The sequence below is a fragment of the Homo sapiens genome, chromosome 1, assembly GCF_000001405.40.
Source record: "Homo sapiens chromosome 1, GRCh38.p14 Primary Assembly".
Taxonomy (NCBI): domain Eukaryota; kingdom Metazoa; phylum Chordata; class Mammalia; order Primates; family Hominidae; genus Homo; species Homo sapiens.
The window spans coordinates 112,843,125-112,868,951 of NC_000001.11; the positions used below are offsets into that span (position 1 = coordinate 112,843,125).

General features: G+C 46.6%; 3 long non-coding RNA genes across 4 annotated transcripts in view, besides 6 other annotated features; 1 reads left to right on the top strand and 2 right to left on the bottom strand.

Annotated features, from left to right (window-relative positions):
* The window catches only part of LINC01356 (long intergenic non-protein coding RNA 1356), a 30,475-nt gene extending 22,956 nt beyond the window's left edge, over positions 1-7,519 (bottom strand). The window contains exons 1-2 of the long non-coding RNA NR_103746.1: positions 6,556-7,519; positions 5,830-5,926 (exon numbers count right to left, since the gene is read on the bottom strand). This is a non-coding gene — a long non-coding RNA (long intergenic non-protein coding RNA 1356). The remainder of the gene's footprint in view (positions 1-5,829; positions 5,927-6,555) is intronic.
* Positions 162-1,111: an enhancer, noted in NCBI's record as "H3K27ac-H3K4me1 hESC enhancer chr1:113385908-113386857 (GRCh37/hg19 assembly coordinates)". NCBI's record gives its function as "activates a minimal SCP1, AML or CMV promoter by ChIP-STARR-seq in primed H9 embryonic stem cells {active_cell/tissue: H9 hESC(primed)}" and the evidence as "EXISTENCE:reporter gene assay evidence [ECO:0000049][PMID:30033119]".
* Positions 2,420-3,054: an enhancer, noted in NCBI's record as "H3K27ac-H3K4me1 hESC enhancer chr1:113388166-113388800 (GRCh37/hg19 assembly coordinates)". NCBI's record gives its function as "activates a minimal SCP1, AML or CMV promoter by ChIP-STARR-seq in primed H9 embryonic stem cells {active_cell/tissue: H9 hESC(primed)}" and the evidence as "EXISTENCE:reporter gene assay evidence [ECO:0000049][PMID:30033119]".
* Positions 3,055-3,689: an enhancer, noted in NCBI's record as "H3K27ac-H3K4me1 hESC enhancer chr1:113388801-113389435 (GRCh37/hg19 assembly coordinates)". NCBI's record gives its function as "activates a minimal SCP1, AML or CMV promoter by ChIP-STARR-seq in primed H9 embryonic stem cells {active_cell/tissue: H9 hESC(primed)}" and the evidence as "EXISTENCE:reporter gene assay evidence [ECO:0000049][PMID:30033119]".
* The window catches only part of LINC01357 (long intergenic non-protein coding RNA 1357), a 28,015-nt gene continuing 8,920 nt past the window's right edge, over positions 6,733-25,827 (top strand). For both annotated transcript variants that reach the window (NR_189281.1, NR_189282.1), the window contains exon 1: positions 6,733-7,303. This is a non-coding gene — a long non-coding RNA (long intergenic non-protein coding RNA 1357). The remainder of the gene's footprint in view (positions 7,304-25,827) is intronic.
* Positions 14,404-25,260, bottom strand: LOC105378911 (uncharacterized). The gene is made up of 3 exons (XR_001738192.2): positions 25,164-25,260; positions 14,796-14,883; positions 14,404-14,492 (listed from the first exon to the last, which is right to left on the bottom strand). It is a non-coding gene; the product is annotated as an uncharacterized LOC105378911 (long non-coding RNA).
* Positions 21,675-22,184: an enhancer, noted in NCBI's record as "H3K27ac-H3K4me1 hESC enhancer chr1:113407421-113407930 (GRCh37/hg19 assembly coordinates)". NCBI's record gives its function as "activates a minimal SCP1, AML or CMV promoter by ChIP-STARR-seq in naive H9 embryonic stem cells {active_cell/tissue: H9 hESC(naive)}" and the evidence as "EXISTENCE:reporter gene assay evidence [ECO:0000049][PMID:30033119]".
* Positions 22,429-22,629: a silencer, noted in NCBI's record as "peak371 fragment used in MPRA reporter construct". NCBI's record gives its function as "represses an SCP1 promoter by STARR-seq MPRAs in K562 erythroleukemia cells {active_cell/tissue: K562}" and the evidence as "EXISTENCE:reporter gene assay evidence [ECO:0000049][PMID:32103011]".
* Positions 22,697-23,206: an enhancer, noted in NCBI's record as "H3K27ac hESC enhancer chr1:113408443-113408952 (GRCh37/hg19 assembly coordinates)". NCBI's record gives its function as "activates a minimal SCP1, AML or CMV promoter by ChIP-STARR-seq in primed H9 embryonic stem cells {active_cell/tissue: H9 hESC(primed)}" and the evidence as "EXISTENCE:reporter gene assay evidence [ECO:0000049][PMID:30033119]".

The following is a 25,827-nucleotide window of genomic DNA, read 5'->3' on the forward strand; positions in this document are numbered from 1 at the left end:
ATTTGCCTTCATGCCCCATATCTGACCAACATGAATAGCTCTTGAACCTATCCTCCTCTCCACTCTCACAACCACTACACCTGAGATCAGGTCGCCATTTCCTATAGTTTAATGTAACAGCTTCCTAGTTCATTTCCCTGTCTTCCACCTTTCTGTCTTCCCCTGATTATTTTGATTATTCATCAGAATGAGTAAGATTACGCCATGAAGTTCTTAGAAATACAATTTTCCACCCATTGCCACTCACTCATTGATGGAGCAGACAAACAGAGGTAATCAAAAGTCCTTGAGAGAATAAGCATCTTCCATTTCCCCTGCAAGAGTTATGATCCGTGTAGAAGCCATTTCAAAGTTTCCCCAATCTGGGGCCGGGCGCGGTAGCTCACACCTGTAATCCTAGCACTTTGGGAGACCGAGGCAGGCGAGTCACTTGAGGCCAGGAGTTGAGACCCGTCTGGCCAACATAGCAAAACCCCGTCTCTACTACAAATACAAAAAAGTAGCTGGGTGTGGTGGCATGCGCCTGTAATCCTGGCTACTTGGGAGGCTGAAGCAGGAGAATCCCTTGAACCCGGGAGGCGGAGGTTTTAGTGAGCCGAGATCATGCTGTTATACTTCAACCTGAGCAACAGAGTGAGACACTGTCTCAAAAAAAAAAACCAAAAAAAATTAAAAAAAATAAAAGCATATGAAACTGACAGTAGCTGGGTACAGTGGCTCACACCTGTAATTCCAGCACTTTGAGAGACCGAGACGGGCAGATTACCTGAGGTCAGGAATTGGAGACCAGCCTGGCCAACATGGTGAAACCCTGTCTCTACTAAAAATACAAAAATTAGCGGGGTATGGTGGCGGGCAGCTGTAATCCCAGCACTTTGGGAGGCCGAGGCAGGTGGATCACAAGGTCAGGAGATTGAGACTATCCTGGCTAACACGGTGAAACCTCGTCTTTACTAAAAATACAAAAAATTAGCCAGGCGTGGTGGCGGTCCCCTGTAGTCCCAGCTACTCCGGAGGCTGAGGCAGGAGAATGGCGTGAACCCGGGAGGGCGGAGCTTGCAGTGAGCCAAGATCGCGCCACTGCACTACAGCCTGGGCAACAGAGCGAGACTTTGTCTCCAAAAAAAAATAAAAGAGTGAAACTCCATCCCCCGCCCAAAAAAAATTATTACGTAATTGTTGCGCCTCCTCACTGTGTTCTAGAGTGCCTGATTTATTGAAATAATTTTAAAACCCGTTGCTGGGCGCTGTGGCTCACGCCTGTAATCCCAGCACTTTGGGAGGCCCAGGTGGGTGGATCATGAGGTGAGGAGATCCAGACCATTCTGGCTAACACGGTGAAACCCCATCTCTACTAAAAATACAAAAAATTAGCCGGGTGTTGGTGGTGGGCGCCTGTAGTACCAGCTACTCGGGAGGCTGAGGGCTGAGGCAGGAGAATGGCGTGAACCCGGGAGGCGGAGCTTGCAGTGAGCCGAGATCAGGCCACTGCACTCCAGCCTGGGTGACAAAGCAAGAAAGACTCCGTCTCAAAAAAAAAAAAAAAAAAAAAAAAACTATTATAGATTTAAATCTATTTTATTATTATTATTATTTTTTGAGACCAAGTCTCGCTCTGTCGCCCAAGCTGCAGTGCAGTGGCCTGATCTCCGCTCACTGCAACCTCTGCCTCCCGGGTTCAAGCGATTCTCCTGTCTCGCCCTCCCGAGTAGCTGGGACCACAGGCGCGTGCCATCACACCTGGCTGATGTTTTTTATTTTTAGTAGAGACAGGGTTTCACCATGTTAGCCAGGATGGTCTCGATCGCCTGACCTCGTGATCTGCCTGCCTCAGCCTCCCAAAGTGCTGGGATTACAGGCGTGAGCCACCGCGCCCGGCAGATTTAAATCTATTTTAAAACCAAATTTATAATGTATCCTGAATATCTAGAGAGACATTTATAACTAAAGATTAAAAATCAACTTATTTTTCAGGAATCAAAAAGTGGATTACATAAAGTCCTAATTTATACTACTCTTTTTTTTTTTTTTTTTTTTGAGATGGAGTCTGACTCTGTTGCCCAGCTGGAGTGCAGTGGTGTGATCTCGGCTCACTGCAACCTTTGCATCCCAGGTTCAAGTGATTCTCCTGCCTCAGGTTCCCGAGTAGCTGGGATTGCAGGCACTGGCCACTATGCCCAACTAATTTTTTGTATTTTTAGTAAAGATGGGGTTTCACGATGTTGGCCAGGCTGGTCTCAAACTCCTTACCTCAGGCTATCCACCCACCTCGGCCTCCCAAAGTGCTGAGATTACAGGTATGAGTCACCACACCTAGCCATAGTATTCTATTGTCTTTTAACATAACATCTCAGATTTACATTCAAGAGAACTAAATGTGTGTTAAAGTGACTCCCAAGTCTGTGGTCTTAAACTGTTTTGTCCCAAAAGAACTTTGGAATATATATATATCCCCTTACACATTGCTTACTAAATGTGCTGTTTAACAGTTGCAAAGATATAATTTCTGGCATATTGTATGTTGTGTTATAAGTGCTTTAAATATATCTTCATCAAAACCTTGGTGCTTTGCTCACTTGATTTATGGAAAAGTGCCACTTACTGGCCAGTCTTCAAAAGGTCTGAACTCATTTGCATTCAAAGCAGTGAGTTGATAAACATTTGTTATAACCATCACTCTTTCAAATTCTAAGCATGATAGAAGGCAGTCACATACATAAAAGGCAGAAGTTTGATGCTTAGGTGAAATTAGTTTGTCTCCTTCAATATTTTTCTCTCCAGAGCTATCTATTTTCTCCCCAAAGGTTTTGAACTGGAATGAGTGAGTTAGCCTTTCTTTTGTACCGAGAGATAAGATTTGTGTAATAGAGTTGGGAAAGAAGTCCTGAAGCACCCATTGTTTTTTTTTTTTTTTTTTTTTTTTTGTTGTTGTTGTTGTTGTTTGAGACGAGTCTCACTCTGTCACCAGGTTGGAGTGCAGTGCTGCAGTCTCGGCTCACTGCAACCTCCGCCTCCCGGGTTCAAGCAATTCTCCTGCCTCAGCCTTCTGAGTAGCTGAGACTACAGGCAAGTGCCACCACGGCCAGCTAATTTTGTATTTTTAGTAGAGACCAGGTTTCACCATGTTGGCCAGGATGGTCTCGATCTCTTGACTTCGTGATCTGCCCACCTCGGCCTCCCAAAGTGCTGGGATTACAGGCGTGAGCCACCGCGCCCGGCCCGGCGCTCTTATTTCAGGAGAGATCATTTTAAATTCAGGTTACATATGAAACTGAGGATTTGCAAAATAACTTTTGAAAACGATAGCAACGTTTGAAACTAAAAGTTACTTATGCTAGCATTTCTAAATGTTCCATTTGAATTATAGAAGCATAATATCAGTTTAAAGGAAACAATCTGAGTTCTAGAATTAAATAGAAATCCCCAGGGCATGCATGTTACATTTTTCTCTAAATTAAGAGTAAAAAAAAAATTAAAGTTTATTCATCTTAGACTATTTACATGAATGCTTAAATGCTGACAATATAAACCCTAGAATATAGTCATTAAAATAAAAATCACTTCCTTTACAGTACACTTACAATAACTGCAACGATCAATTTCTCTTTCCAAAGATTGTCAGTAAGTTGTTAATCTACTTCTCTGTTCTCTGTTTTTTGTTTTGTTTTGTTTTGTTTTTTTGAGACAGAGTCTTGCTCTGTCACCCAGGCTGGAGTGCAGTGGCGTGATCTCAGCTCACTGCAGCCTCTGTCTCACGGGTTCCAGTGATTCTTCTGCCTCAGCCTCCTGGGTAGCTGGGACTACAGGTGCATGCCACCATGACTCGCTAATTTTTGTATTTTTAGTAGAGACGTGGTTTCACCATGTTGGCCAGGCTGGTCTCGAACTCCTGACCTCAAGTGATCCACCTGCCTCAGCCTCCCAAAGTGCTGGGATTACAGGCGTGAGCCACCATGCCTGGCCCTGTTCTCTGTTTTCTTTCTTATTTTATTTATTTTTTGAGACGGAGTCGCCCAGGCTGGAGTCCGTGGCGCCATCTTGGCTCACTGCAACCTCCACCCCGCCGGGTTCAAGTAATTCACCTGCCTCAGCCTCCCGAGTAGCTGGGATAGCTGGGATTAAAGGCGTGCACCACCACGCCGGGCTAATTTTTGTATTTTTAGTAGAGACGGAGTTTCGCCATGTTGGCCAAGCTGGTCTCAAACTCCTGACCTGAAGTAATCCACCTGCCTCGGCCTCCCAAAGTGCTGGGATTACAGGCATGAGCCACCACGCCGGGCCTATTGAGTTTTCTACAGGACAAACCACAAGTAGCAACACAGTGCAATCACAAAAGAGGAAGGTAAGCTTTTAAATTTCTAATTTGCAGAGCGGGTGTTCCAAATCTGAAATTCATCGACCTCTACACGGGTTGCTGAAATTGATGCGACAAAAGCCTGCATCTTTTTTTTTTTTTTTTTTTTTTTTTTTTTTTTTTTTTTTTTTGAGAGGGAGTCTGGCTCTGTCGCCCAGGCTGGAATGCAGTGGCGTGATCTCGGCTCACCGCAACCTCCGCCTCCTGGGTTCACGCCATTCTCCTGCCTCAGCCTCCCAAGTAGCTGGGACTACAGGCGCCCGCCACCACGCCTGGCTATTTTTTTGTATTTTTAGTAGAGACGGGGTTTCACCGTGTTAGCCAGGATGATCTCTATCTCTTGACCTCGTGATCTGCCCACCTCCGCCTCCCAAAGTGCTGGGATTACAGGCGTGAGCCACCGCGCCTGGCCAAAGGCCTGCATCTTTTTTTTTTTTTTTTTTTTTTTTGAGATGGAGTCTTGCTCTGTGGCCCAGGTTGGAGTGCAGTGGCATGATCTCGGCTCACTGCAAGCTCTGCCTCCCGGGTTCACGCCATTCTCCTGCCTCAGCCTCCTGAGTAGCTGGGACTACAGGCGCCCACCACCGCACCCAGCTAATGTTTTGTATTTTTAGTGGAGACGGGATTTCACCATGTTAGCCAGGATGGTCTCGATCTCCTGACCTCGTGATCCGCCCGCCTCAGCCTCCGAAAGTGCTGGGATTACAGACGTGAGCTACCGCACCCAGCCAGGCCTGCATCTTGAAGTGAGTTACTGAAGACAAAGTTTGGCGCTAATTTAAATAATGTGACTGATGCGACTGATTGCGACCACAACGGAAGGGTACCCCACAGGTCACAATAATTATCCCAAAATTAACTGAAGATGCCCACTGTTACTTCTGTTTAACCATGTGTTAACCATGTAGTTATGGGAACTACAATGACGTTCACTACCTTAGAGAAACTTACAATCTTGGGCCAGGTGCCGCACTTCACAACTATAATCCTAGCACTTTGGGAGGCCGAGGAGGCTGAATCACCTGAGGTCAGGAGCTCGAGACCAGCCTGGCTAACATGGTGAAACCCCATCTCTACTAAAACTACAAAAAATTAGCTGCGTGTGGTGGCAGGCACTTGTAATCCCAGCTACTCGGGAGCCTGAGGCAGGAGAATCACTTGAACCCGGGAGGCGGAGGTTGAGGTGAGCCAAGATCGCGCCACTGCACTGCAGCCTGGGCAATAAGAGCGAAACTCTGTCTAAAAAAAAAAAAAAAGAAAGAAAAACAGAAACTTACAATCTGTTACAGGAGACAGCAAACAAAAATAATACAAGGTTCGGCTGGGCGCGGTGGCTCACGCCTGTAATCCCAGCACTTTGGGAGGCCGAGGCGGGTGGATCTGAGGTCAGGAGTTCAAGACCAGCCTGGCCAAGATGGTGAAACCCCGTCTCTACTAAAAATACAAAAAAATTAGCCGGGCATGGTGGTGGTCACCTGTAATCCCAGCCACTCGGGAGGCTGAGGCAGAGAATTGCTTGAACCCGGGAGATGGAGGTTGCGATGAGCCGAGATCGCGCCACTGCACTCCAGCCTGGGCGACAGAGCGAGACTCGTCTCAATAATAATAATAATAATAATAATAATAATAATAATAATAATAATAATAATAAGGTTCACGTACTACAAAGCAGAGAACAGGGAGGGGAAGGAATTAGAAGAGAATTTCTATGGGCAGAGCAAAGTCATGGGTCACGGGAATCACGAACTGGGGAAAATTATTTGTCAGGTTTAATTAAAGGAAGAGGAACAAATAGAGTTTAAAGATTAGAAGGTTACAGGTGGCACCCCACAATCCCCAAAACAAACCCCACCTCGGCTCAGCCCCAGTCACCTCCCAAGGGGGTATATCTTGCCCAGAGAGCCTGAAGGCAGGGGCATTTGTTTTTACAGCCCAGTCACTATTCTTCCAGACAAAAAAAGCATTTCCTGTGAGGATGAAGTGATTACCCCAGGTCACCTGGCCACATTCCTCTCCGGGAGCTGGTGGCCACACCACCTGGCCGCCCCTCCACTAGCGCCGCGCTCCGAGGTCACGCAGCTGCCTGCGAAGCCCTCAGTGAGGCCGCCTCCCACCCCCTGGAGACGTGGTCTCCCCTCCCGCGAGGGTCCCTCCGACCCCACCCGGGCAACTAGGGCACCGCGGGCTGTTACCCAACTAACCATTAAGCGCGGAGCCGAGCGCGTGCGTGGCACGGAGAGGCGGGGCGGGTCTGGTCTGCGCTCTCGGCACCATGCGGCCCCCAAGACGTAGAGCTTCCCTGCCTCGGTTTGAAGGGACCGCTGGGCTGCCTGATTACGCGCCCCCGGCCGAGCCTGCGCACTGGGGACGCAGTCGGCCCTCGCGTCCTCTGCTGCCCGAAACAAGCGCGTGGAAAGCTTGGTCGGGGCTTCTCACAGCCGCGCGCACAGACTGGTTCTCCCCCCGCGTCTCCCGGGAGCGTCGCCGCCACCTGCACGCGTCCGGCACACAAACGTCGGTCTCACCCCTTAGTTTCTGGAAGAGAAAAAGGAAAAGCCACCGAGAGGCCTGACCCTGAGGGGTCGGGGGGAGATGCGGGCGCGTAGTAGAGGGAAGCGACTGAGGAGCGGGGACTGGGCAGCATTTGAATGGATGCGGGTGCCGCTGGCACCCGGGAAGACGCCTGGGAGCCGGCGCTGGGGAGCCGGGCATGGGCTGGGATGTGTTTGGATTCCAATCTGGGCCTGACACCAGTTCAGTGACCTCGGGAAGTTCCCCAACCCTGCGGGCCTGTTTCCTCCCTCTGAAGTGGCGACAGTAATAGAACCGACCTCGTAGGCTCATCGGGAGGTCCTGATGGGAGAACCCATGCAACTTGCCACCACAGAGCCAGGCCCGCGGCGACTGGCTCCTGGTGGGTATTAAAGACGAGTCGGGAAAGAAGAGCAGGTAAGAGGGCGGGGAGACTGGCCCAGTGGGTTGGGGTGTGCACCTCGGCCACGTGGAAAAGCGAGAATGCAGGGGCCGGACGCTTATGGACGATGCATATGTGGGGCCGGATAGAATTGTGGCAGGCGGCGCTGGGGCTGATGCGCCTCACCCAGATTATCCTCTGTAATCCTCACAGCCCTGTGAAGTGGGCCCTGCCATGAACATTTTGTAAATAAGGCACCCGAGGCTCAGAGAGGTGAAGTAATTTTCCAGACAGCCCAGCTCGTCAGCGGCCAGCATTTGAAGTCACACTCCAGAGCCTGTTTTTATCATAATAGCCGCTGTGACCGCATAACCAACGTGTGTGTTGAAGTGATCAAATAACCATGGGGTGGTCTCTGATGTCCAGGACTTTTGAGAAATACTGAAAAAGTATGAGGCAAGGCCCCTGCCTTCAAAGAGCTTTCAAGTTTATGGGAGAGACTGAGTCAGGCGCAAATTAACCAACATCTGTTGAGCACTTACTGCTTGCCAGGACCCTGCCCTTCTCTCACTGTCTTCCTCCCTTCCAGGACTCACCCCCTCACTTACCCTTCCCCTCAATTCTCACAAGAGATTGAAGAAGGGTAGAGACTGGAGGATGAGGCTGGGCGCGGTGTCCCATGTCTGTAATCCCAGCACTTTGGGAGGCCGAGGCAGGTGGATCACCTGAGGTCAGGAATTCAAGACCAGCCTGGCCAACATAGCGAAACCCCCCTCTACTAAAAATACAAAAATTAGAAGGGTGTGGTGGCACTCGCCTATGGTACCAGCTACTCAAGAGCCTGAGGAGGGAGAATCACTTGAACCTGGGAGGCAGAGGTTGCAGGGAGCTGAGATCATGCCACTGCACTCCAGCCTGGGTGACAGAGCGAGACTCTGTCTCAAAAAATAAAAAAATAGGCCGAGCGCAGTGGCTCACGCCTGTAATCCCAGTACTTTAGGAGTCCGAGGTGGGCGGATCATGAGGTCAGGAGTTCGAGACCAGCCTGGCCAACATGGTGAAATCCCGTCTCTACTAAAAATACAAAAATTAGCCTGGCGTGGTGGTAGACACCTGTAATCTCAGCTACTCAGGAGACTGAGGCAGGAAGAATTGCTTGAACTTGGGAGGCAGACGTTGCAGTGAGCCAAGATCATGCCATTGCTCTCCAGCCTGGGCGACTCTATCTCAAAATAAATAAAATAATTAAACAGATAAAAATAAAAAATGGTGGTGGGACAATTGGGTATCCATATGCAGAAGAATGAATTTGCATGAAATTGACTTAAAATTCATCAATAACAAAGAGCTAAACTGTAAAACTCTTAGAAGAGAATATACAGATAATCTTTTTTTTTTTTTTTTTTTTTTTTTTTTTGAGATGGAGTCTCATTCCGTCGCCCAGGCTGGAGTGCAGTGTCGCAATCTCGGCTCACTGCAAGTTCAGCCCCCGGGTTCATGCCATTCTCCTGTCTCAGCTTCCCGAGTAGCTGGGACGACAGGCGCCCGCCACCACGCCCGGCTTTTTTTTTTTTTTAGCATGTGGGAGCAACTTACCCACATTTCGGTTACACTAGTATGGCTACAAAAAAATTTTTTTTAAGGAAAAAAGTATTGGTGAGAATGTGGAGAAATTCAAACTTCATACTTTGCTGATGGGGATGTAAAATAGGGCAGCTACTGTGGAAAACAGTTTTGTGGTTCCTCAAAAAGAAAGAATTACCATATGATGCAGCAATTCTGCTACTGAAGCAGCGTCGTTTTCTGGGGTAAATACCTGAGGTTCCTCGTCTAGTGCCAAGAAGATTAAGGACATGGATACACGCAAGGAGCGAGTTTAGGAGAGGAGATTTCATAGGCAAAAAAGGGAGAAAAGGTCTCTCATGAGAGAGTGGGGCGCTCGAATGGGAATTCCAGCCTGGGGCAGAGTGCACCCGATTTTATAGGCAGGCTTAAGAAGGCAGTGTCTGATTTACATAGGGTCCAAAGATTGGTTGGACCAGGTGTGACGTTTACATAACACGCCAGGTAAGCTGGCTTCTCCACCCTAATCTTATTATGCAAATAGAATCTTTGCCTGGCTGGCACCATGTTGCCTGCTCCTTACTACACACGCGGCTAGCAAAGAGAAGGGAAGATGGAGCCGCCATTTTGAACATGCGTAGTCCCAGGTGTAGCCTTTTCCTATTGCCACAACTGCTGGCGTTCACCCCTGCAAGCTTCCAGCTTGCTTGTCTATGTTTGCAGCTTGATTTTACAGGATGTTCTTTGTTACAAAAGAAAATTATCTGGGGGCTGTTTTTCATTAAAAGGAAAACCTTACCAAGGACTCCTGTAGCTTACCTGCCTAAATAATTTATTCTTAATGCCTATATCACTACTAGGTATATTACCAAAATAAAACCGGTATTCAAACAAACACTTGTACAGCAGCACTATTCACAGTAGCCAAAAGTTGCAAACAATTCACATGTCCATCAATGGATGCATAGATAAACAAATATATTATGCAGCTATAAAAGGGAATGAAGTACTAATAAATCCCACAATGTGGATAAACCTTAAAAATATATAAGTGAAAGAAGCCAGAAACTAAAGGTTCAAAATTGTATGTGCGATAATTTCGAGGCATTTGAACCAGAGCAACTCCATCTTGAATAGGGACTGGGTAAAATAAGGCTGAAACCTACTAGGCTACATTCCTGAGATGGTTAAGCATTCTAAGTCATAGGATGAGATAGGAGGTCAGCATAAGATACAGGTCATAAAGACCTTCCTGATAAAATAGCTTGGAGTAAAGAAGCCAGCCAAAACCCACTAAAACCAAGATGGCCCAGAGAGTGACCTCTGGTCATCACTACTACACTCCCACCAGTGCCATGAGAGTTTACAAATGCCATGGCAACCTCAGGAAGTTACCCTATATGATCCAAAAAAGGGAGGCATGAATAATCCACCTCTTTTTTAGCATATAATCAAGAAATAACCATAAAAATGGGCAACCAGCAGCCCTGAGGGTGCTGTCTATAGAGTAGCCATTCTTTTATTCCTTTACTTTTTAAATAAACTTGCTTTCACTTTATGGACTTGCCCTGAATTCTTTTTTGCACGAGATCCAAGAACCCTCTCTTGGGCTCTGGGTCAGGACTCCTTTCCATTAACAATTTCATTGCATGAAATACCCAAGATAGGTAAATCCATAGAGACAGAAAGCAGATTAGTGGTTGCCAGGGGCTAGGGATAGGGAGAAAGGGAGTTGTGTCCGGATTTGGTGGGTTCTTGGTCTCGCTGACTTCAAGAATGAAGCCGCGGACCCTCGCGGTGTTACAGCTCTTAAGGTGGCGCGTCTGAAGTTTCTTCCTTCTGGTGGGTTCGTGGTCTCGCTGGCTCAGGAGTGAAGCTGCAGACCTTTGCGTTGAGTGTTACAGCTCTTAAGGCGGCGCATCTGGAGTTGTTCGTTCCTCCCAGTGGTCTCGTGGTCCCGCTGGCTTCAGGAGTGAAGCTGCAGATTTTCGCGGTGAGTGTTACAGCTCATAAAAGCAGTGTGGACCCAAACAGTGAGCAGCAGCAAGGTTTATTGCAAAGAGTGAAAGAACAAAACTTCCACAGTGGAAGGGGACCGGAGCAAGTTGCCACTGCTGGCTGGGGCAGCCTGCTTTTATTCTCTTACCTGGCCCCACCCACGTCCTGCTGATTGGTAGAGCCAAGTGGTCTGTTTTGACAGGGCGCTGATTGGTGCGTTTACAATCCCTGAGCTAGATACAAAGGTTCTCCACGTCCCCATCAGATTAGTTAGATACAGAGTATAGACACAAAGGTTCTCCAAGGCCCCACCAGAGCAGCTAGATACAGAGTGTCGATTGGTGCATTCACAAACCCTGAGCTAGACACAGAGTGCTGATTGGTGTGTTTACAAACCTTGAGCTAGATACAGAGTGCTGATTGGTGTATTTACAATCCCTGAACTAGGCATAAAGGTTCTCCACGTCCCCACCAGACTCAGGAGCCCAACTGGCTTCACCCAGTGGATCCCGCACGGGGCTGCAGGTGGAGCTGCCTGCCAGTTCCGCGCCGTGCGCCCGCACTCCTCAGCCCTTAGGTGGTCGATGGGACTGAGCACCGTGGAGCAGGGGGCGGCGCTCATCGGGGAGGCTCCGGCCGCATAGGAGCCCATGGAGTGGGTGGGAGGCTCAGGCATGGCGGGCTGCAGGTCCCGAGTCCTGCCCCGCGGGCAGGCAGCTAAGGCCCGGTGAGAAATCAAGCGCAGCGCCGGTGGGCTGGCACTGCTGGGGGACCCAGTACACCCTCCACAGCCACTGGCCCGGGTGCTAAGCCCGTCATTGCCCGGGGCCGGCAGGGCCGGCCGGCTGCTCCGAGTGCCGGGCCCGCCAAGCGCACGCCTACCCGGAACTCCAGCTGGCCCGCAAGCGCCGCGCGCAGCCCCGGTTCCCGCTCGCGCCTCTCCCTCCACACCTCCCTGCAAGCTGAGGGAGCCGGCTCTGGCCTTGGCCAGCCCAGAAAAGGGGCTCCCACTGTGCAGCAGTGGGCTGAAGGGCTCCTCAAGTGCCGCCAAAGTGGGAGCCCAGGCAGAGGAGGCGCCGAGAGCGAGCGAGGGCTGTGAGGACTGCCCTGCCAGCACGCTGTCACCTCTCAGAGTGACTGCTTAATGGATATGGAGTTTTCTTTTGGGGTGATGAAAATGATTTGGAACTTGATATAAGTGGTGACTGTGTTACCAGAGAGGTGTCCGATTCCAGACCCCTCCAGAGTAAACTGAAAGCCAGTTTTTAGGAAAGTAAAGGAATAAGAGAATAGCTACTCCATTGACAGAGCAGCCCCAAAGGTGCTGGTTGTCCATTTTTATGGTTATTTCTGGTTCAAACGTCTCTGACAGTTGCATGTGCTATTGTGAAATATATATTTGGTCTTCTTCTCCATTTCCTGGTGGCATACAACTTCTAAAATCCTTAGAACCTCCAAAGAGATGTGTCTTTTTATATGTTAATGAGTTGACTGATGGTTGGGGACTCCTGGATAGCTTCAGGATTGAGGGCTGGTCACAGGAAAGACCAAACCTTGATGAGAGAGTTGGGACTTGCAGGCACACCCCTCAACCTCCACGAAGGGGAGGAAGGCTGAAAGTTATGCTGATTACCAATGACCAATGATTTAATGACTCATGACTACATAAGGAAGCTTTCATAAAAACGCAAAAGGACTGGGTCCAGAGAGCTTCGAGTTAGTGGAACACGTGGAGGCACCTGGAGGGTGTCATGCCCTGCCAGGGCATGGAAGCTTCATGCTCTTTCCCACATAAGCATTTCTTTCATCTGGTGTTCAACAGTCTCATTTGTAATATCCTTTATAATAAACCAGTAAATGTAAGTAAAGTGTTTTCCTGAGTTCTGTGAGCCACTTTAGCAAATTAGTTGAACCCAAAGAGAGGGTAGTGGGAATCTTGATTTACAGCCAGTCAGTTAGAAGCACAAGTAAAACAACCTGGGGCTTATGATTGGCATTGGAACTAGGGGCAAGCTTGTGGGACTGAGCCCTCACCTGTGGGATCTGACACTATCGCCAGGTGGATAGTGTGACAGTTGAGTTGAATCAGAGGACACCCAACTGGTGTCCACTGAAGAATGGATTGGTTACTGTTGGGGAGAAATTCCCACACACATTTTGGTTACCAAGAGTCACAGAATGGTGAATATACTAAAAACCATTGAAATGTACACTTTAGGCCGGGCGCGGTGGCTCCTGCCTGTAATCCCAGCACTTTGGGAGGTCGAGGTGGGTGGATCACAAGGTCAGGAGTTCAAGACCAGCCTGGCCAATATGGTGAAACCTCGTCTCTACTAAAAATACAAAAAAATTAGCCGGGCATGGTGGCACATGACTGTAATCCCAGCTGCTTGGGAGGCTGAGGCAGGAGAATTGCTTGAATCCAGGAGGCAGAGGTTGCAGTGAGCTGAGATCGCGCCACTGCACTCCAGCCTGCATAACAGGGCAATATTCCGTCTCAAAAAAAAAAAAAGAAATGTACACTTTAGCTGGGCATAGTGGCTTACGCCTGTAATCCCAGCACTTTGGAAGGCCGAGGTGGGCAGATCACCTGAGGTCAGGAGTTCGAGACCAGCCTGACCAACATGGAGAAACCCCATCTCTATTAAAAATACAAAAATTAGCCAGGTGTAGTGGCACATTCCTGTAATCCCAGCAACTCGGGAGGCTGTGACAGGAGAATCGCTTGAACCCGGGAGGCGGAGGTTGCGGTGAGCCAAGATGGCGCCATTACACTCCAGCCTGGGCAACAAGCGTGAAACTCCGTCTCAGAAAAAAAAAAAAAAGAAAAGAAATGTACACTTTAAGATGGTTGATTTTGTGACATGAATTCACCGGACTTAAAAAACAAACAAATAAATACAAAGAAACACATTTTCCATGAATCTCGTGAAGCTTTTGGGAGGTGCTCTAACAGTATATTCATAGGATCATATCTAATTTTTTTTTTTTTTAAGATGGAGTCTTGCCCTGTCACCCAGGCTTGAGTCCAGTGGCGTGATCTCAGCTCACTACAACCTCCACCTCCGAGGTTCAAGCAATTCTCCTGCGCCTCAGCCTCCTGAGTAGCTGGGATTACAGGTGCACACCACCATGTCCGGCTAATTTTTGTTATTATTATTATTTTTTTAAGTAGAGATGGGGTTTCGCCATGTTGGCCAGGCTGGTCTTGAACTCCTGGCCTCAAGTGATCTGTCCACTTCAGCCTCCCAAAGTTCTGGGATTACAGGCATGAGCCACCGCGCCCGGCTGGATCGTATCTAATTTTATAATTTTAACTTTTTATTCTTTTCTTGAAGAGGGCCGCTGTGGTGGACACTATAAGCACCCCCTCCCAAAGATGTCCATGTTTTAATCCTTGAAACCTGTGAATATGTTATGTAATATGACAAAGGATAATTAAGGTGACAGATAGAATTAATGTTGCTAATCAGCTGGCCTTAAAATAGGGAGATTATCCTGGATTGTCTGGGTGAACCGAGTATAATCAAGAGTCCTTAAAATGGAAGAAGGTGACAGAGAGGAGGTCAGAGTGAAGCAATCTAAGAAGGACTTATCTGTTGTTGCTGGTTTTGAAGATGGAGGAAGAAGCCACAACTCAAGGAATGCAGATGGTCTCTAAAGCTGGAAAAGACAAGGAAACTGATTTTTTCCCAGAGCCTCCAGAAGGGAACACAGCCCTCTTGACGCTTGAGTTTTATTTAGCCCAGTGAGTCCTGTCTGGACCTTTTAACTACAGAGCTGTAAGAGAAATTTGTGTTGTCTAAAGCTACAAAGTTTGTGGTAATTTGTTATAGCAGTGATAGAAAACTAATACAGCCACCTTAGATGTGCATACTTCAGGCCCCGCAAAACTTTTATCTTCCGCTGACAGGGAATATAAAGAGTACAGGCTTTGAAGTTGGAAAACCTGGTCTCGTAACTTACTTGCTGTGTTACTGTAGGCAAATCGCTGAACTCTTCCAGGCCTTAGTTTCTTCACAGGTACATTGGAGATAATACCTACAAACCTGATCTATTGTGCAGATCAAAAGAGAAAGTGATTAATAAAACTTGGAAAGTGCTCTAAAAATGTTCATGTGTCATTTTAAGTTGTTAATAAAGAGTATTAGAGTGACTAAGTGACTCCAAGCTTATTAGCTGGAAAAATAGAAGTAGGAGAGCCGATTCTCTGGGACATGCCTGTAGTCCCAGTTACTTGGGAGACTGAGGTGGGGAGAATTGCTTGAGTCCAGCCTGGGTAACATGGGGAGATCTGTCCCTAAAAAATGAAAAAAGGAAAAACAGTTGGAGGGTAAGAAAAGGAAACCAGTTTTGATGAACTAGCCAAGTTGATTAAAATAAAGCAGATACAATTCCTACTGTTTTTCCAGATATCTTCCTGATTTTTTTTCTTTTTTTTTTTTTTTGAGATGGAGTTTCGCCCTTGTTGCCCAGGCTGAAGTGCAATGGCATGATCACAGCTCACCGCAACTTCTGCCTCCCAGGTTCAAGCAATTCTCTCAGGTTCAAGTGATTCTCCTGCCTCAGCCTCGCAAGTAGCTGGGACTACAGGCATGTGCCACCAGGCCCGGCTAATTTTGTATTTTTAGTAGAGATGAGGTTTCTCCATATTGGTCAGGCTGGTCTCGAACTCCCCACCTCAGGTGATCTGTCCGCCTTGGCCTCCCAAAGTGCTGGATTACAGGCGTGAGCCATCACGCGGCCTGTCTTCCTGATTTTAAGCCAGTGCAAGATAGGAATTTTAGAGCTGAAAGGAGCTTGAAAATCACATAGCCAGGCCGGCCGCAGTGGCTCACGCCTGTAATCCCAGCACTCTGGGAGGCCGAGGTGGGCGGTTCACGAGGTCAGGAGATCAAGACCATCCCGGCTCACACAGTGAAACCCCGTCTCTACTAAAATTACAAAAAAATTAGCCGGGCGTGGTGGCAGGCCCCTGTAGTCCCAGCTACTTGGGAGGCTGAGGCAGGAGAATGGCATGAACCCTGGAGGCGGAGGTTGCAGTGAGCCAAGATCGTGACACTGCACTCCAGCTTGGGCAACGAGTGAAACTCTGTCTCAAAAAAAAAAAAAAGAAAAGAAAAAAGAAAGATGTTCTTTTTGTTGTTGTTTTTTTTCTTTTTTTTTTTTTTTTTTGAGACGGAGTTTCACTCTTGTTGCCCAGGCTGGAGTGCAATGGCGCGATCTCGGCTCACTGCCACCTCCGCCTCCCAGGTTCAAGCGATTCTCCTGTCTCAGCCTCCCGAGTAGCTGGGATTACCGGCATGCGCCACCATACCCAGCTAATTTTTTTGTATTTTTAATAGAGACGGGGTTTCACCATGTTGGTTAGGCTGGCCTAGCACTCCCGACCTCAGGTGATCCGTCCGGCTCGGCCTCTCAAAGCACTGGGATTACAGGCGTGAGCCACCGCGCCTGGTGAGAAAGATGCTCTTAACCCTATTTCACCAATAATAAAACAAAAAGTGTTCTTTTTGTTTTTGTTTTATTGAGATGTAATTCACCTAACATAAAATTCACTATTCTAAAGCGCACACTTCAGTGGTTTTTAGAAAATTCCCTATGTTGTGTAACCATCACCATTACTCTCAAAACATTTCCATCAACTGCGCCCCCCCACCGAAAAAAACCATACTATTAGCAGTTAGTCCCAATTTCCCCCTTCTCCCATCCCTTAGCAACTACTAATCTGTCTATGGATTTGCTTATTCTGGATATTTTATATACTGTAAATTGAATTATTAGCATAATATTTTCAAAGTTCATTCATATTGTAGCATGCATCAGTACTTCATTCCTTTTATGGCTGAATAATAATCCATTGTATGGATGTATTACATTTTGTTTATCCTTTAGTTAGCTGATGGACATTTGGATTGTTTTCACTTTTTGGCCATTATGAATAAAGCTGCTATGAACATTCATTTACAAGTTTTTGTGTAAACATATATTCTCATTTCTCTTGAGTATATGCTCAAGAAGTGGAATTCCTGGTTCATATGATAACTCTGTGTTTATCTTTTTGAGAAACTGCTAAACTGTTTTCCATAGCAGCTGTACTTTCCACCAGCAATATATGAGGGTTCCAATTTTTCCACATTCTTTTCAACACTTGTTGTTTTCTCTTTTTGAAAATATTGTTACTATAGTCAACCTAATGGGTGTAAAGTGATTTCTCATGTAATTTGTTTGTTTAGTTTTATTTTTGGAATAGCATTTCCCACTCTTTTTATTTAATTTTAAATTTTTTTTTTTTTTTGAGACGGAGTCTCACTGTGTTGCCCAGGCTGGAGTGCAGTGGCGTGATCTTGGCTCACTGCAACCTCTTCCTCCTGGGTTCATACAGTTCTCCTGCCTCAGCCTCCCAAGTAGCTGGGATTACAAGCATGTGCCACCATGCTCAGCTAATTTTTGTATTTTTAGTAGAGACAGGGTTTCACCATGTTGGCCAGGCTGGTCTCGAACTCCTGACCTCATGATCTGCCCGCCTCGGCCTCCCAAAGTGCTGGGATTACAAGCGTGAGCCACCGCTCCTAGCCCATTATGGTACTTTAGATGACCACAGTTATAAAGTTGGGTCACATAATTATCAACCATAGTGATATGTGTTTATACATTTCCCCTTTCGACCTATTTCTTTTTTCTTTTTTCTTTTTGAGACAGTTTCGCTCTTCTTGCCCAGGCTGGAGTGCAATGGTGTGATCACCTGATCGAAGTCAGGAGTTCGAGACGAACCTGAGCAACATGGAGAAACCCCATCCCTACTAAAAATACAAAATTAGCTGGGTGTGGTGGTGCATGCCTGTAATCCCAGCTACTCGGGAGGCTGTGGCAGGAGAATCGCTTGAACCCCGGAGGTGGAGGTTGCGGTGAGCTGAGATCGCACCATTGCACTCCAGCCTGGGCAACAACAGTGAAACTCCGTCTCAAAAAAAAAGTCGATAAAAATAAATAAGTAAATCTAATAATCTGATTTTAAAATGGGAAAAACTCCGTCTCAAAAAAAATATGGTTCATCTGGTTGTAACTGTTATAGCCATGTAACTGTAATTAGTGTACGTGTTTATGCTTGCAAAAATAGGTATGTTATACTGAGTATTTTGTTGTGTAAAGTGACCTATGAAGCGTTCTGTCATGACTTTATGTGTCTCAAATAAATCCCCTTTTAAAAATGTAAATAAGGCCGGGTGGGGTGGCTCATGCCTGTAATCCCAGCACTTTGGGAGGCTGAGGCGGGTGGATCACGAGGTCAGGAGATTGAGACCATCCTGGCTAACACAGTGAAACCCCGCCTCTACTAAAAATACAAAAAATTAGCCGGGCGTGGTGGCCGGCGCCTATAGTCCCAGCTACTCGGGAGGCTGAAGCAGGAGAATGGCGTGAACCCGGGAGGCGGAGCTTGCAGTGAGCCGAGATTAGGCCACTGCACTCCAGCCTGGGTGACAGAGCAAGACTCCCTCTCAAAAAAAAAAAAAAGTAAAAAAATGTAAATAAATACCTTTTAAATAATTTTTAAAATTAGTTTTCCAGAATGATAGTTTTGGAATGTTGAGCTTTCAGGATTTCAACACTTGAGGTTATGCCTTTTAGGATTATGATCAGCTTCCTGTCTCTTAAGAATGAAAACAAGCAAGCACATACACTCTCAGCACTTTCACCCAGAATTTTAATGGAGGTTCTCGTGAGTTCGATAAGGCAAAAATAATAATAATTATTATTATTATTTAGCCGGTCGCAGTGGCTCACGCCTGTAATCCCAGCACTTCGGGAGGCCAAGGCGGGCGGATCACGTGAGGTCAGGAGTTCCAGACCAGCCTCAACATGGAGAAACCCCCCGTCTCTACTAAAAATACAAAATTAGCCGGGTGTGGTGGTGCATGCCTGTAATTCCAGCTACTCGGGAGGCTGAGGCAGGAGAATTGCTTGAACCCGGGAGGCGGAGGTTGCAGTGAGCCGAGATCGCACCACTGCACTCCAGCCTGGGCAACAAGAGCGAAACTCCGTCTCAAAAAAAAAAAAAAAAAATTAAAGACATCGAGATTGGAGGCCGGACACGGTAGCTCACGCCTGTAATCCCAGCACTTTGGGAGACCTAGGTGGGTAGAAATTCTGTCTCAAAAAAAAAAAAAAAAATAGATTGGAAAGGAAGAAGTAAAATTCTAATCACAAACAACATGGTCATCTTTACAAAAAATCATTTGGAATCTACAAAAAGGCTAATAAAACTTAGCAAGTTTGTAAGAAACAATAAAAATCAACTGTATTTTTATATAGAATTAGCAGACATTTTTAAGTAGATAATAAAATCAGTGCTATTTTCTTTCTTTCTTTTTTTATTATTATTATTTTTAGTAGAGACGGGGTTTCACCGTGTTAGCCAGAATGGTCTCCATCTCCTGACCTTGTGATCTGCCCACCTCGGCCTCCCAAAGTGCTGGGATTACAGGTGTGAGCCACCGCACCCGGCCTAAATCAGTACTATTTTCAATAGGAGCAAAACAGTTAAAATTTAGGAATAATTACGACAAAAGATTTGTAAGGCCTGTACACTGAAAGCTATAGAACATTTCTGAGAGAAATAAGAGACCTAAATAGATGGAGAGATAATATCATGTTCATGAATTGGAAGATTCAATATTGTTAAGAACTCAATTCTCTCCAAATTATCTATGGAGTTGTGATATTATGTTATCTATACATTGATTTTCATCCATGGTTCCTGACTCATAACTCCTGTAGCTCTTGTTATAATGTTGGGGTGCTTTAGGCCTCAGAAGCAGGCCTCAGGAAATAGAATCTCTCTCTGATCTTCTACTGCTGTCCTTTCACGGGCTCCCTTTTCTCCCCCAAGGCAGGACTGTCATCTTCCCCTGCCTTTCCATAAAGAAATTCCCTGACCTACCTTGTCTGATTGTAGGTCATAAAACCCCTATTTTAGAAAGGGTCCTGCTCCATACCCTGAAGGAAGGAATGCTGCACACAGAGGCCAAGAAGAATCTGAACAAACAGGCCTTGCTGGGTATCCCCATTCAGTCTATTTTAGATCCTACCCTTTTTATCTAATCACATTTCTACATGGTTGTCAATCATACCTATCCAATGAAGTCTTCATAAAAGGCCCAAGAATACAACGTTATAGAGAGCTTCCAGATAGTTGAACAAGGAGAGTCTTACAGGAAAGTGAGCAAGAACTCAACCACATGCCAGGAGGGCAGTGTACCGCAACTCCAAAGGGACAGAAGCTCCTGTGATCAGACTCTTCCAGACCTTGCCCTGTGTCTCTCTTCATCTGGCTATCTATTTATATCCTTTAAAGTATCCTGGCTGAATGCAGTGGCTCACGCCTGTAATCCCAGCACTCTGGGAGGCTGAGGTGGGTGAATCACCTGAGGTCAGGAGTTTGAGACCAGCCTGACCAACATGGTGAACCCCGTCTCTACTAACAAATACAAAAATTAGGCGGGACACGGTGGCTCACGCCTGTAATCCCGCACTTTGGGAGGCCGAGGCAGGTGGATCATGAGGTCAGGAGTTCAAGACCAGCCTGGCCAAGATGGTGAAACCCCATCTCTACTAAAAAGTACAAAAATTACAGCATGCCTGTAATCCCAGCTACTCGGGAGGCTGATGCAGGAGAATCGCTTGAACCTGGGGGGCGGAGATTGCAGTGAGCCGAGATGGTGCCACTGCACTCCAGCCCTGGTGACAGAGCAAGACTCCATCTCAAAAAAAAAAAAAAAAAAAAATACAAAAATTAGCTGGGTGTGATAGCGGGTGCCTGTAATCCCAGCTACTTGAGAGGCTGAGGCAGAAGAATCACTTGAACCTAGGAGGAAGAGTTTGCACTGAGCTGAGATCGTACCATTGCACTCTAGCCTGGGCAACAGAGCAAGTCTCCATCTCAAAAAAAAAAAAAGTATATAACTACACACACACACACACACACACACACACACACACACATATATATCCTTTGTAATAAACCAGTAAATGTAAGTAAGTGTCCCCCTGAGTTCTGTGAGCCACTCTAGTAAAGAGGATCATGGGAACTCCATCTTGAAGTCAGCTGATCAAACGTACAGAGGTGTGGTCTTGTGACTAGTGGGAAGGAAGAGGTGTTCTTGTGGGACTGAGCCCTCAACCTGTGGTTTCTGAAGCTATTTCCAGGTAGATAATGTCAGAATTCAATTGAATTGGAGGACACGCAGCAGATATCTGCTGCAGAATTGATTGCTTGGTGTATGAGGAGAAACCAACACACATTTGGTCCCAGAAGAATCCTGGGTTGATTGTTGTGGTGTGAGAACAGTGGAAGAACATGGTTTGAGTTTTTCTACTATCCCAAGAGTCAGTGTAATCCCAATCAAAATCTTTTTTAAAAAATATTTTACAGAAAAAATTGACAAGCTGCTTCTAAAGTTCATATGAAAGGGAAAAATAAAAAAAACAACAACCCAAACTTAGAGTAGACAAAACAACTTGAAGACTATGAAGAAAGTTGGAGTCCATGAGTGGTGGCTAACGCCTGTAATCCCAGAACTTTAGGAGGCTGAGACAGGCAGATCACTTGAGGTCAGGAGTTCAAGACTAGCCTGTCCAACATAGTAAAACCCCGTCTCTACTAAAAATACAAAAAAAAAAAAAAAAAAAATTAGCCAGGCATGGTGGTGAGTGCCTGTAATCCTAGCCACCTGGGAGGCTGAGGCAGGATAATCACTTGAACTTGGGAGCGGAGGCTGCAATGAGCCAACATAGTACCACTGCACTCTAGCCGGGGCGAGACAGAGTGATACTCTGCCTCAAAAAAAAAAAAATATTGGAGAAGTGGTTCGTTTGCTGCCCATATCCTGACAGTAGGTTTGAGGGCATAGGCCAAGGGAAGCAGTACCAGAGGCTCAACATGATGAAAACAGCTGTCCAGCAAGAAAGACTGGAGCTTGGTTTTTGTTAATTTTTTTTTCTTTTGAGATGCAGTCCTGCTCTGTTGCCCAGGTTGGAGTGCCGTGGCACAATCTTGGCTCACTCCAACCTCCGCCTCCCAGGTTCAAGCGATCCTCCTGCCTCAGCCCCCAAGGAGCTGGGATTATAGGCATGCACCACCAAGCCCGGCTAATTTTTGTATTTTTAGTAGAGACAGGGTTTCGCCATGTTGGCCAGGCTGGTCTCAAACTCCTGACCTCAGGTGATCCACCCTCCTCGGCCTCCCAAAGTGCTGGGATTACAGGTGTAAGCCACCGTGCCTGGCCAGCCACCGCGCCTGGCCAGCCACCGCGCCCAGCCTTTTTTTTATTTTTTTATTTTTTTTTTGAGACAGAGTTTTGCTCTTGTTGCCCAGGCTGGAGTGCAATGGCGCAATCTCGGCTCACTGCAACCTCCACCTCACAGGCTCAAGCAATTCTCCTGCCTCAGCCTCCCGAGTAGCTGAGATTACAGGCATGCACCACCACGCCCATCTAATTTAGAATCTTTAGTAGGGACGGGGTTTCTCCATTTTGGTCAGGCTGGTCTCAAACTCCCGACCTCAGGTGATCCGCCCGCCTTGGCCTCCCAAAGTGCTGGGATTACAGGCATGAGCCACCGCACTCGGCCTTGTTAAACTTTTTTGTTAATTTTTTTTTTTTTTTTTTTTTTTGAGAGAAGTCTCGCTCTTATCTCCCAGGTTTGAGTGCAATGACTTGAGCTCGGCTCACTGCAACCTCCACCTCCCGGGTTCAAACGATTCTCCTGTATCTGCCCCCCAAGTAGCTGGGATTAAGTCACCTTCCACCACACCCAGCTAATTTTTGTATTTTTTAGTAGAGACAGGGTTTCACCATGTTGGCCAGGCTGGTCTTGAACTCCTGACCTCAGGTTATCTTCCCGCCTCGGCCTCCCAAAGTGCTGGGATTACAGGTGTCAGCCACTGCGCCCGGCCATTTTTTTTGTTAATTTTTAAGACATGATTAGAGCCAAAGAAGAGTTGGTGTAGAGATCAAGGTTTGGACAAGGGTGAGGCAAGTGAGGCTTTCATTCTCAAGGACCCATCTTGCGCTTATATGATCTTGAGAGTGTGTGCCTCCTAAAATTTTATGTTTCCTCACCTGAAGGTAATCCTGCCCCTTATGGGACTCAGAACATGACACCCCAAAATATGGCACCTTGGCAATTAAGAAAACTAAAGAAGCAAGATCACGTTGACCTCCCCCCGCTTTCTCATGCACAGTGCTTTCATAAAGGAATTATTTAACCTACCTCACCTGAAAGCAGGACATAAGACCCTCATTCCAGGCTGGCCCAGCCCCATACTCAGAGAAAAGGAATGCTACTCAGCAGAAAGGAATGCTACTCAGAGTGGCCAAGAACAATCTGAACAAACAGATCTTGTCATATTTCCCCTACTTCCCCTACCCCAGTTTATTACCATTAGATCATACCCTTTGTCCAGTCATGTTCTCCACAATCATCTACTTCTTTCAGCAGACTTAGCATTTAAAAAAACACAATTTTCCCTGGGTCTTTGGGTCTTCATTTCTGAAGGCTCTTATGTCTTATAAAACCTTGTTAAATTTGTTATGCTTTCCTCTTATTAATCTGCGTTTTGTTATGGGGTGTCATCTGTGAACCTAGCAATGGGTGAGGAAGACAATACTTTTTTCTCTCCTATGCCCTGATGGGGAACTCTCTAGACAGACAAATGAATAGCTGAGGCTTCTCATCACCCATATACCCACATTCTCTCTCTCTTTTTTTTTTTTTTTTTAAACAGAGTCTCCTTCTGTTGCCCAGGCTGGAGTACAGCCTGGGCTCACTGGATCCTCTGCCTCCTGGGTTCAAGTGATTCTCCTGCCTCAGTCTCTCAAGTAGGTGGGACTACAGGTGCATGCCACCAGGCCCGACTAATTTTTGTATTTTTAGTAGAGACGGGGTTTCACCATGATGGCCAGGTTGGCCTCGAACTCCTGACCTCAAGTGATCCTCCCACCTTAGCCTCCCAAAGTGCTAGGATTACAGGCGTGAGCCACCATGCCCGGCTGCACACTCTCTTACCTTTCCCACACCTTGAAATTTCCCTCACTGCCCACCCTAAATACAGTACCATGAGACGCAAATCTTAGATTAGATTTCAAAGGAAGGGCAGTGTCACTTAGTTCCACTAAGGCCTACCTGTATCCTCTGTGGCCTAGACTGGAGGTGGATATGGGGAGACTGATTTCCAAGATAGACATAGCTCTGTTATCTTCACTCCCTGAGTCCAAGCCCAGCTGAATACCTAAGTGGCTTCTCATTCTTTTTTTTTTTTTTTTTGAGACGGAGTCTTGCCCTGTCGCCCAGGCTGGAGTGCAGTGTCATGATCTTGGCTCACTGCAACCTCTGCCTCCCAGGTTCAAGCAATTCTCCTGCCTCAGCCTCTTGAGTAGCTGGGATTACAGGTATGTGCCACCCCACCTGGCTAATTTTTGTATTTTTAGTAGAGACAGGGTTTCACCATGTTGGCCGGGATGGTCTCGATCTCCTGACCTCGTGATCCACCTGTCTCGGCCTCCCAAAGTGCTGGGATTACAGATGTGAGCCACCACGCCCAGCCGTGGCTTCTCATTCTTATCCTTAGAGATTGCTGGCATCCCCGGCCTCTTACCACTCTTCCCATCCTTCCATCAGCTTAGACCACTCAAGTGCTTTCACTGCAAGTTCCCTTTATTGTCATCACTAGGCAGCTGCATTTTGATCTCAGAGCTAATAGATGAATCCACTTTCTTCAATATGGCCACTCTCTCAGCTGGGGTCTTCTTCCCTAATCTGTGTGTGTGTGTGTGTGTGTGTGTGTGTGTGTGTGTGTGTGTGTGTTTTGTTGGGTTTTTTTTTGAGACAAAGTCTCACTCTCTTGTCCAAGCTGGAGTGCAGTGGCACCATCTCAGCTCACTGCAACCTCCACTTCCCGGGTTCAAGCAATTCTCCTGCCTCAGCCTCCCAAGTAGCTGGGACTACAGGCACGCGCCACCACGCCCAGCTAATTTTTTTTTGTATTTTTAGTAGACACAGGGTTTCACTATGTTGACCATGCTGGTCTTGAACTCCTGACCTCCTGATCCGCCCACCTCAGCCTCCCAAAGTGCTGGGATTACTGGCGTGAGCCACCCTGCCCGGCCCTGAAATAAAAAAAAATAATTTTTTTTTTTTAAAAAGAGTTTGAGGCCTTGTGTACCTTGAGTTAAAGAGGCCTCTAAAGGAGAACCTGGGGGATTCCAAATCTGACAGCTACAATTTTGCACAAAGCCTTACTCAATGTTCTCCACTCATCACCCCCTTTCTTTTTACCTGCTTCCCTTGTCTTCTGCTCTTCTCCTCTCCTGGCGAGTTGGTGTTGGTTGTTGTCAGGAAGCCTCAGCTCCTCACAATGGGAACTCCCCAGAGGGCTCCTTGAATGTCCTCATGACATGGCGCCTAACTCCCACCAGAATGAGAGATCCAGGAGACAGTGAGAGGGAAGCCACCAAGCCTTTAGGTCCTAATCTCTAAAGTCACTGTAGGGGAGAAAATTAGCATCTTTATCTAGTATCACCCTAGGTTTGTGGCAGAGATCCCTATAACAAAATATTAAATACAAGAGAAAAGCATACAAATTTATTTAATAAGTTTTACATCATATGAGAGACTTAATAAGGAAATGAAGACCCAAAGAAACAGAAAAAAAACGGTATTTTTATGCTTAGGTTCGTGTAGAGTGGACTATCATACAGTATGATTGGACAAAAGTGGGTATGATCTAATAGAATGAGACCACCACTTCTCCTGTTGTCCTTCCCAGCTTCTCCCCAACCTCCCCTTTTCCCTAGTTTATAAGACAGGAGAAAAGGGAGAAAGCAAAAAGTTGGAAAGAAACAGAAATAAGATAAATAACTAGACGACCTTGGCGCCACCACCTGGCCCTGGTGGTTAAAAGAATAATAATAATAATAATAATATTAACCCCTGACCAAAA